The 12,235-nt window shown below is 38.2% G+C and overlaps 1 long non-coding RNA gene across 1 annotated transcript; it reads left to right on the plus strand.

The window, feature by feature from the left end:
* The first annotated feature begins 429 nt into the window (after positions 1-429).
* On the plus strand, positions 430-8,594 carry LOC124901352 (uncharacterized). Its single transcript, XR_007059664.1, has 2 exons — positions 430-5,493; positions 8,154-8,594. It is a non-coding gene; the product is annotated as an uncharacterized LOC124901352 (long non-coding RNA).
* Positions 8,595-12,235: the final 3,641 nt, after the last annotated feature.

Raw genomic sequence — 12,235 nt, forward strand, 5'->3', positions numbered from 1 at the left:
CTATTATACAAAAAAGACAAGTGCAAATGTTGTAAGAGAAAAAGATATTAAATAGCCATAAAAGATTCTAATTATAATTAAGGCACCTTGTAAGGACAATAAAAATGGATTTAAAAGTGAAAGATCTATCTTTTCGGAAGTCTCATTTTAAGTATATTGTTAATTCAAGTTAATTTTTAAAAATGTTTTTCAAGCCGCATAAGGTTTGTGAGAATTTCTGTTCCAATATTATGGTAGTCACAAATAAATATTGGAGATTTTATATATATATATGTGTATGTATATATATTATATATATATGTGTATGTATATATATTATATATATGTGTATGTATATATATTGTGTGTGTGTGTGTGTGTGTGTGTGTATATATATATATATTTAAAACAGGTACTGTGCATCTTACTTAGTATGATTAAAATAAAAGAGTTCAGAACCATTTGGTCCAGAACCAAATCTGTCTCTTTGTTTGGTCAATAGGAACTGCACTTATTTCAAGACTGAAAAGTACTTTAAATTTGGAATGTTGGAGGTACCTTGGTAATGTAAATTTTTGCATTTCTTTTATGCTCTCCTGTCTTCTAAGTGTTTTAACTTCCATCACAATGAAATTTCTTCCTTCAAAATTATATCACCAAAAATGACATTTGGAACAAACATCAAATTTAAACAGATTTCCTTGCTTCTTGTCCATGTTCTTCTTGGAAGCCACAGAGAGGATGGCCTTTGGGTGATCCACTAGTTGTTTCTAAATGGGAAGCTCCCTGCTTTTCCCCAAGGCACTGGCAGCTCTTTCACACATTGCCACTAGCAATGAACAGTCTCAGAAGTTCTTGAAAGATGGTTTTGTCACTTGTCTTACCTCTCTGCCTGCTGACTTGAAGCCTGACAAACAATGATAAGTGAGAGTGACAAATGGCCATTACTTACTATCCTAGAGATCTCCCATAAGGAAAAGGCCTGAATATGGAGCTGGACATGCCTCCATTACACTCCCAACTTGAAGAAAGCAAAACCCAATACAACTAAAATTGTCTAATTAAATTATTTGCAAGTAAATAAGTTAGTAAAGGAAGGCACTCATACCCAAAAGAATGTGAAAACAAGAACATAGAGTTAGAGTTTACCCATCAACTTATCTTAATGTGTTTCTAGTATCTTTATACAGGCATTTTTGTTTCAGTAATAATGTATGCTAACAGTATCTAATATGTAAACAACTTAGCTTATTGTTCTAACAGTGCTTCTAATTGTTCTATACTGTGGAATTATTATAAGGCAGACTCATTGCGTATCTTATCCAAGGACAGTTATTATTGGAAGTGCAGGAAAACCTAATTAAAACACTTTAATAATTCAACACAGTCGTCCATTACCAATCTGTGACACTGTGTGGATTAGATGTATATCGCATGCTTTACACAGTAGTGTCCCCTTATCCACTGGGAATACATTCCAAGACCCCCAGTGGATGCCTGAAACCTCAGATAGTACCAAACCCTGTATATAATATGTTTTTTTTCCTATATATGCATACCTATGATAATGTTTATTAATTAGGCACTGTAATAGAGTAACAGCAATAACTAATCATAAAATAGAACAATTATTACAAAATGCCAGCATCACTACTCTTGCATGTTTGGGCCATTATTAAGTAAAATAAGGCTAACTTGAACACAAGCACGTAAGCACTACCATACCACAAAAGTGGATCTGATAACTGACATGACTGTTAAGTGACTAATGGACAGGTAGTGTATACAATGTAAATATACTGGAAAAAAGGATGATTCACGGGATGGAGCAAGATGGCACAAGATTTCATCAGGCTACTCAGAATAACATGCAATTTAAAACTTATGAATTTTTTATTTTTGGAATTTTCCATTTAATATTTTCAGACCAAGGCTGACCATGGGTAACTGAGCAGAAAATGAAACTGAAGATAAGAGGGGACTACTGTACTGTTGCACCTCAGTGTTAACCATTACTTCTCTTTTTGCTCCAAGATTTAGAAATCTAGGCAGGCCAGGATAGTCAAGATCTGATTTGTTGTCTGGTGATTCAGCCAAAAATCATCAAAGAAGCTTCCTCCCCAAATTCCTTGCCTTGCTTCATTATCTGTCCTCTGCATTTTTCTTAACACTATGAAAATATAATAGAGACCAGGAGAAAATTTATCTCTCTCTTGCTAACCATGTCTCATATATTTGTCTGAGTGTATAAGCATTATAATTATAGACACTTCCAAAGAACATAGAGATAAAAGGAGACATCTAAATCAATGTCCAGAATGTCAGAACTGTTATTACTTAATATGAGACAGAGAAGCAGTTTATAGTTTTGAACATTTGTCTTAGGATTAAGAAAATGGAAGAGAAGCCTCTTGGGTTTGGTGTATAAGAAGAGATAGCAGCAAATTGTTTTGTGAAAGAGACATATATGAGAGTACACGGAGAGGCTGATCGCGGGACCTGGAATCATACTACACTGGGTTCAAGTCCCTGCTCCACCTCTTTCTAGTGTGTCTGTATCACCGTGGGTGAGCTACTTAACTCTCTGTGTCTTAGTTTCCTCGCCTTTAAATGACATGGATCCACCATTGTGTATCATACAGAATACCTGCACTGTCCTAAAAATCCTCTGAGTTCTGCCTGTAAATTCCTTCTCCCAACTGGTGCAACCACTTATCTTTTGACTATTTTTACTTTAGATTTAAGATAATTTATTCATCATTTGTTTGGATTTTTAAAAGATTTTGACTTCTTTCTTTTTGCCTCAGGAAAAATCAGCATGGTTTGTTGTAACAGAATACCTGAGACTGGGTAATTTATAAAGAAAAAAGATTTCTTTAGTTCACAGTTCTGCAGGCTGAGAAGTTCAAGAGTATGGCCCTGACATCTGGTGAGGGCTTTCCTGATGCGTCACAACATGGTGAAGGTCACAGGGGAAACCGACACATTTGAAGAGACAAAACCCAAGGGGCATCCTGGCTTCCTAACAGCTCAGTCTTACAGGAACTAATCTAGTCCCATGAGACCTAATCCAGTCTTGCCAGAGCAAGAACTCACTCACTACTGCAAGAACAGCACCAAGCTATTTATGAGAGACCCACCCCCAAGACTAAAACACTTCCCCTAGGCCCCACCTCCCGACACTGCCACATTGGGGATCAAATTTCAATGTGAGTTTTGATGGGAACAAACACAGCATATCTAAACCACAGCAATAACAATAACAGCACACCTAACATTTACTGAGTGATTGCAATATGCCAGGGACTGTCCTGAGAAGCTTACATATATTGACACATTTCATTGTCAGAGCAATTATGCAACTAGACACTAAAGTTAGCTCCATATTATAGATGAAAACGTAGAGAGAAATTCGATGACTTACTCAAGTTCACACAAGCAAGTGCTAAAGCCAAGTTTTGAACCCAGATAGTCTGTCTTCAACCATCATTATCTGATGAAATCAAAGCTTTTAAGCTTCATAAATCATATATGAATTATTTACGTAGTATAGAGCTAGCATTCCCGTTCAATGAATGATTATTCAAATATTACTTTAAAAACAATTTTTCCTTGAGGAAGTATAATCACAAATAACAATGTTCCTGAGAATTCAGAAAAAAAAGTATATTCTTTGGTTCTTATGTCAGTCATGGAGACAGAAGCCCCTCTAGGTATTTTAAACAGAAGTTACTTAATATGGCAAATTGGTTACAAAATGTCGGAAAGGCTGGAGATGCAAAAAAGAAGGTGGTGCAGTTACCCAGAGATTGATGACAATATGAAGTCACTAGCACATAAGCCTGGAAGTAAAGGGGAGAATGCTGTTACTCAGAGTCCACACTCACTGTAACTAGGGTTACTGGAGTATCCACCCATGCTGTGGGCCCATTGGAACCACAACAGCTACTACCTTGCGGAAAGCCAGGAGTCAAGAAACTCAAGAGTTACCTGCGCCCACCACAGCTGTTGTTGGAATGAGATCCAAGGCTGCCAGAGTGTGCACTGCTTCCGTCACCTCTGAAACCATGCTTCTAGAGCAAGAAGCCTGGACCTCACACATACCTACTGCTGTTGTTACCGCCTAGGACAAGGTCAGAAACAGAGAAGGAAAAGAAAAGTGGCTTATCCCTTTATGCCACCTTACATCTCCTGCCATTGCCTCCCATTGACAAGACTACTCTGCAGACACCTGACAAGGGAATCTGAGCAATAGAGGTGGCAGAACTCCAGTCCCCAGTAATGCAGAGAACATCCGAGCCAACAGGCAACTTTCTGTTGTAGCACTTTGTTTGTTTTAGAAACAACAGGAACCATTTAAAAATAAACATATATTGATGAACTTATTACTCAAAAGAACAACCAGGGTTATTAGTTGCCAACACTAGGTCCCACCATATTTAGTTTAAGCAGGAAAGTCAGTCATTAAAGGATATTCTGGATAGTCCACAGAGATCACAGAGTCTCTGGGGGGTTGGGCTATGAGGGTACCCAGCCAGATAAAATGCCTGGACTGTACCCCAGGGCTGCTTCAGCAAAAGCACCATTGCCATCTCTGGGCACAGACACCATGCTGTGTATGGCTAACACTGGGCATTAACCACCAGAACCTCCACTGTCTATTCTCATCAAAAAATGGATTCTACACAATGCCTGCATCTACACTTTGCTCTCTTTAGAATCAAAGTCTTGCACTGTGTCTTTATCACATGCCTATCTGCAAGAGAGGTGAGGCAAAGCAAGTCTCTGGCATCTACCTTAGGAATGTGGTACTCATAATGTCATTCAATCCTGGAGATAAACCATTGTTTGCAAATTACCTGACATAATGACCATGTGGCCAGTAATGTTTGTTTGATATACATGCTACACGCCAGCTACAATTCTAATCATTTTACAGATATTCATAGTGCTCTATGAGGTAGCTACTATTATCATTTCTGTTTTGCAAATGAGGAAGCAGAGCACAAAGGGATCTTTTTAATGAGCTCATGGTCCCATAGCTACAAACTGCCAGACCAGGATCTGAACTTAGGTTTCCTGGCTTCTAAGTTAGCTCTTAGCCACTCACCTGTACTGTACATGACAAATGTCCCGTAAACAGTAGCTACTTCCGTTCATCTTTTTTTCCTGGCACTTATGACATAAAGAGGGGAGAGGTCAGAGGATGGTGGAGAGGTCCTCAGAGGCCAGGTCATTAAGGAGCTTGGAATCATATTGAGGAGTAAGGATTTTATTCTAAGGGTGACCAGTTCCCAATCCAACAGTATATTCACACCCCCCTGAGCTGGAGCATTGGCAGTGGAAGTCAGATCTGTGACCAAGTGACAGTTAAGAGTACAAAGAGGGAGAGGAGAAGGGGACCAAATGTAGAATTCTTCTTGTTGTTGGTATTGTTTGGTTTTAAAACATTTTTTTTTAACATGGGTAGGAAGAAGAGTCCAGGAAGCAGGCTCAAAAAGACTGATCAGAGAGGTAAGAGAAACAAAGGAGGCTGTTATTCTAGACTCCAGGAGAGATCATTTGAAGAGGGTGAGAGTGGTCAGGAGCCTCAGCTACTGCAGGGAGGTCAAGGAAGAGAATGAGAAACTGGTCTTTAAATTGAGAAACTTGGAGATTATTGAAATTATCTTAGCAATAGTAATTTCAATAGTATAGTTAAAGTAGATGCAAACTGCAAAAGACTGAGGGATTAATAGCAGGATGTGGAGATAGAAAGCACAAACAACTTTTACTTGATTGAGACGAGAAAGAGTAAGAATATATCAAGGGTAGCTTCTTTTTTATGGGAGAAACTTGAAAATGAAGGAAGCTGAGGGGAGGATCCAGTTGAGAGAAAATTGATGATGTAAGCAAGAGAAGAGATAATGACAATGGAGAGACCTTGAGTAATTGGGAGAAGAATAGATGGAGGGACCAGTCTTAGGTAATAGTTTCTTTCTGCAGGACATGAGGAAAAAATGGAGCAGTTATAGACACATCTGTCTGTGTGGGGAAAGGAGTGTGAGAAAGTCCTCTCCTAAAAGACACCATTTTTTTCCCTATGAAATATGAGAAATATCATCTGCTGAGGGAGAAGAGTTTCAGGATGGGATATGGTGTCTAGGGAGAGTGTTGGAGGTTAGGAACAGCCACTGAAGGGAATGGGAAAGACAGCTCATCAACCAAAAGGTGGCTCGGTGGCTCGGTGGCTCAGTGGCCCAGGGAGCTTGGCTGAGGTGAGAGGCAGTATATTTTTAGCATGAATTTCTGCATTAGTTTGCGAGAGTCTGGCCATAGGGGCATAGATCTGAGAAAGGTCCTCAATTAGCAGGGCTTGAGCAGAGGCATTGATTCTGAGAAGAAATGTGCTGAAACAATGTGCCACCAAGTCTAGGCTGGATCAGAAGAAACTGGGAGAGAGAGGGGTCCCAGGCTGGTGCAGGGGAATGGAGGATGACCTGTGATCACAGCACATTGGCAACTTTCATGAGTTCAAAGATAAAATATGTCAGGAGCAATGGAGTGAGATTTTTGGAAGGATAAGGACTGTGATCATAGTAGGATATTGAAGCTGTTTCAGGTGATGATGCCTTAGGGTACGAACCTGGGAGTGGATCAAGGCAAAGGCTGCTGGAGAAAAGCTCAGAGTTGAGATGTTTCAAGAATATTTAGAGCTGTAACCTAAGAAACAAAAATTACTTTTTAAGTGAAATTTTTTATTTATCTAGAATCAGGAGGGTTTTTTTCCTGCCCACAACTCAGCTGAAATGATGATGCAATTACTTTAGTGAATATCTCAATTATCAACTTAGACCTGTTAGTTGTTCTTTAATCAATGTTGCTATGCAGAAATGTTCATGATTGTCCTACATAAGGCAGGCTAACTCATAAAACAAATAAACCCAAAAATGTATCACGGCCTAAGCATGATAGAAGAAATGGTATAGACTATGCTTCAGCCTAAGAACCAGGCAGATAGTTGATTGAATCTATAAAAAAATTTTTTTAAAGAGGATGGGATTAAATAAGATATGGATATATAATACTTGGCTGCTTTTCCTTTGCTTTTTATTATTATTATTATTTTTAGTTTCAGTTACTGGCAAAGCATCGCCAAAAGGGTATCCATACTTAGAAATGCATGCAGGATCACTCAGTGATGTGCTAAACACTCATCAAAAGCAGAGATAAGGGATTTTGGCCAAGGACAGATAACAGAGGATGGATGGCCTAAAGAGGAGAGAAAAGGACACTTACTGACTGCCTGAAACAGGAGTGGCTGCTGGCCCCAAGATCAACAGCACCAAAGTGGAACACATTGTCTTCCTCTCAGAACAAACGCCTCTGCCTTCCAACTTCTTTATTTCTGTTAATGCCCCCACCCCATCCCCCAGCCCAGTCTTCTAGTTTGCTGGACGTGGACACTGGAAGTCACTGTGTGTTTCTCACATTCTTCTAAGTCCTACAGACATCTCATAAGTCATCAAAAGCCTCTCGATTAATCCTTCATCACATCTCCAGCAGCCTGAAGAATGCTTTGTCAGGCTCATGACACTCTGCTGCTGGAGGAGCAGCAGTGGGAGGGGTTGTGGGGCCATTCTTCCTTAGCCGTCCTACCTGGTGGGTGACTCTGTGGGTTTTCTGGCAGGTGGTTGGGATTGCCCTAGAAGTGCTTCTGTGGATTGGGTGATGAGACTCTACTCTTCCAAGACTCTGCACCCCTCCAACCCTGGGATAAGATTCTGTTAAGTGCACTGCAACCTACATGCCATTTTTAAAAGGCAAAGCAGAAATATAGGGCATTGCTTTATAGATTAAAAGCTTTCCAGGAACTGTATGGCACTGGTTTTTAAAAACCACGCACACACATGCACACACGCAAATATGCACATTTACATACACAAACTTTTTTGAAAATTCTCACGTGTGAGTGTATTTAATTCTGCTTTATAGTCAAATCACAACACCAAAGAGGCACCCCTTAATTAGCAATATTCTTATACAGAGATGTTCATGGCTATGCTAGCTAGGGTAGGCTAATTGGTGAAACATATAAACCCCCAAATGTATAATGAAACAAAAAAGAGGGCAATTTCTTGCTTGTATAAGGTCTAAAATGGGTTTTTCTCATTGACGGCTGGCTCTCTTTTCAGCAGGAATTCAGATCCTTTTCATCTGTGACTCTGTCATTTTCAACATGTGGCTTCAAAAGTCTGCTTCAAGCCAGTGAAAAGAAAACAAATATGAAGAATAGACTTTTCCAGGCCTGGAAGTGGCACTTATGACTTTCACTCACATCCCAACAGCCAGAACTCAGTTATATGGGAAATGTAATCTAACTATGTGTCCATGAAGAACAGGACATCCGGGAAGCAATTAGCAGTTTTTTCTACAATGGTATAGCAACTGGATCAGTGTGGAGAATTTACAGGGCATCAAAGAAGAACCACTCTTCTTTACCCAACATGGTGGTGTAGGTACACTAGAAACTCTTGGTGGAGGAATAGGTCAGACCTATAAGTGAACAGGAAGCCAGTGGTTACATTTAGGGGGAAATATTTGAAATTCTAATAAAGTTTTTTCATTGTCTAAAATATACTGAAAGGAATTTTCTTAAATGAACACATTCTTCAATAATACAAAGTTGGCAAATTGGCAGGTTGGGAAGTAGGCAGTAGCAATGTGAACCAGTTGGAACTAGACAAGAAGCCCAGACTAGAAAAACAAAGCCCAGGCAAAAATCCAAGAATGCCAGGGCAATACCAGCATGAGAAATCAGATAAGTGAATAGAAACCAGGAAGCCATAGAAATTTTGGAGCAGAGTAAAATTAAAGTTACAAAACCTGGATGGGAGAGCTGGTCCTACTATTTACAGATGGACACAGGAGAACCCGCTTAACTTCTCTGAGTTTGTTTATTCATGTGTAGACTTGGGGTAATCATATCTACCTCATAATAACTGGAGAATCAAGTGAGATGATGCAATGAAAACTCATGTACCCTGGCAAAAGGAGAAAATGGGCTAATTTTAAGTGTTTTTGTTTTTATAAGCTTAGGGTTAAGGAGGGAACAGTGCTATTTAGGAAGAAGAGGAGTTGAAACCTCTTTTTTTGACAAATAAATCCCTGGTCCTGAACTGGCAGAAAAGGTTGAGAAGAACTACTTTGTGTAAACTCTATCTTCGTGGGGAAAACTTGCAGATTCAGTTTCCTTTATAAAAGTCCATTCTTCCTGCCGTCCTGCATGCCTTTCTCCCTCACTCCTTTCTCTCTGCTTTTACTTCCTCTTTTTACTTTTCTCCTTTATTTTTCCTCTATTTTTTTTCTCCATCTAGTTTCTTTGTTAGGTGAGCCTGGACAGTGAGGAGAGTGTAACCAATTTCCTGTATAAGGATTCTAGACAGGAGCTTGCTAAGGTTGGGTTTTAAGGGTTCAATCAATAATAGAAACAAAAAGGATGTGCTCCTGGCAAATGTGTTGTTTGATGTAACTCTTTAGGGGAAAAACTGGCAATATACACTCTTAAGTTGATCATTCTCTTTGACCTGCAAGAATTTTTCATGGTATCCAGTATAGGAAATAATCAGAAAAAATAGAAGCCTTATGAATAAAGATGTTCATCGTAGTTTTACTTATAGCAATAAAAAGTTTGAAACAGGCTGAACGCTCAAAGGAAGACAAATGGTAAATTCAACTACGTTATATTAACACAATAAAATATGTAATTAATCATGTTTTGAAGCACCTTGGTAAAATGGAGAGTATCATGGTAAAATAGCAAATGAAATTAGCAGATTGCCAAATGATCACAACCAGGCCAAAGGCGCAGGGAGAAAAAACATAGAAGGAAATGGATCATAATGACATCAGTTGCTGTTCATGAGTGGATAAATACACTTTTTTATTATTTCTACTTTTCCATATTTCCTATATTTTATAATGTACCTATATTATTCTTGTATTTGAAAACATAAAGCCAGTTTTAGTTTCTGGGAAAGTTGTTGATACTAATTTTTCTCATCTTAGCCTTGTGCTGGTGTAACTAATAGCAAAATGAGTTCACTTGCTGCACCATAATGTAAAGTAGTCTTTTTAAAAGTGAATAGAAATATCTATATAGATCTATAGGTACCAGATACGTATATGTGTATAAGTTTTAGCATTAGAAATTCCACACTCATAAATCACAGTTTTGCTTTATAGGATTTAATTGGCAAGAAGGAAAGAAATATAAATTGTTGGTGCAGAATTTTCAGTCTGTCATTAGAATAGCATAGATTCCATGGCCTGACTTAAAGCATTTGCATGTATCACAAGGATTCTGTTGGAATCAGCGTTGGAGTGAACTTTTCTTTGAGATGATTTGATGATTCTTTTTAACTCTGTCCTCTATATCCATGGAAGCTGTGCCTCCTTGTAAAAATATGGTGATGGAGACCACAAGTAATGAAAATATTTAGATAATCACTTATAAGCATTGACAAACAGTATCAAAGGCCATTACTGTATAGACGTTCTTGAGAGTGGCTGGGTCTGTTGCAACTCACAATGGGAGATAAAAGAACTTAATGTATGTAGCCTTGTTCAAAAGTCCATCTAATTTGAAAAACGTTGATTTAGATCACTCGAAAGTTCCAAGGAAGACTTAAATGCATTGAGTAGTCACTGTGAGTTGAGAAGAAGTAAATAGATTATCAGGCAAACAGGTAATCAAAAGCTAGTCCAGAAATTCGAAAAGGACTCCTGACAATGTCCTGGAAGAATCACGTGGTATTATAAGATACCGCTCAAAGGATAGGGAAAGATGGCCAAAGTACATCAAAATATTATTTTCTTTATTAAACAAAAATAAAATTGTATGAACCATAAAACGGATATGGAGAGTTCCAATTTTAATATGTACAGCTTTATTTGGATTAATTGAAAGGTGTACTACCTCCTACAACCTGGTAAAATTGCATTCCATATTAAAATTACAGTACAGTAAACCATAAAGTTTACCTATAAGACTGAAAATGACAGATCTAGAATGAATAAGGAAAATATACCACAGCTGACAGAGAGAATATATGACTTGAATGTGAATTTCCTGCCTACGCAAAAGAAGGTTTACTCTGAGTCCAGGAAGCATCATGGTCTATTTATGATAATAGAAATTTGTAGGCATCTGGCTTCAGGTGAACCTCTCTGATATTTGACATCAATATTAGTCCAGGCACAAAGCTGTATTTTATTTTCTTGCAGGGCCTTCATGATGAAATGGAAAATATTGATTTGTGATCACCCCACTATAGATCAATCCAAACACATGGATTTTGTGCTTTGTTTTATTTAAAGGGCCCAATCAAAGATTTCTGTTTTGCTTTATATTCAAAGCTTCAGGTCAGTGTTTCCCAGATTTCAATGTACATAAGAATTCCTTGGAGTGTTTATTAAAAATGCAAATTCAAGAGCAAGCAAAACTAATATTTCACGAAGAAAATCAGAATAGTGATTATGACTGGGAGGGGCATGAAGGAACTTTCTGAAATATGTAAAATGCAACACTTTGCTACATGTGTTTTATTTCATAGTTACAATTTTTAACAAAAACAAACACATTTTTAAAATGCAAATTATTGGGCTATGCCATAGGGGAAAAAAATTGCCACAAGGATTGGGCCTGTTTTAATAAGGTTGGGCCTGTTGTTGGCTGGAATAAACTTATCTATCAAATATCAGCCATGAATAACAGAAAAAGGGCAACAGATTTTAACTTGCTTCTAATCTTTTTGAAAGCCCCCACTCAAGCCTATTTTTATAGCAAGCAAGATCTCTGCTGGTTCTTTCTACAGTGATCTCAGAAACTGTTACCTTATGAAGGCATCCAAATTAGTCAAATCTTGAAGGTTTTGTCTTTGTATAGCCAATAGACCAATAATTGGGTTGAGTTTTAGTTCTCAGAAGTGCATAGTTACTGTGCTCGGGAACTGGCTTTTTAAGATTTCCTTTTATCTCTTGTCCATTTACTTTTTTAAGGTCTGCTGCAAAACCGAAACAGCTCTTGTTCACATTCTAACTGAGAGAACCTATCAGTTCAGACTTAACCTCAGCAGAATGGAAGTATTTTCACACCAACTGTTATTTCACTCAGATCTCCTCATGTGGTTCACTCTTTGGTGGGCCCAGTCACTCCAGGATTTTATTTCTTGCAGACATGAGCTTATGTTCAGTCCCCGGAGGATATAGTTTGGGT

Source organism: Homo sapiens, chromosome 6 (genome assembly GCF_000001405.40).
Source record: "Homo sapiens chromosome 6, GRCh38.p14 Primary Assembly".
NCBI lineage: Eukaryota > Metazoa > Chordata > Mammalia > Primates > Hominidae > Homo > Homo sapiens.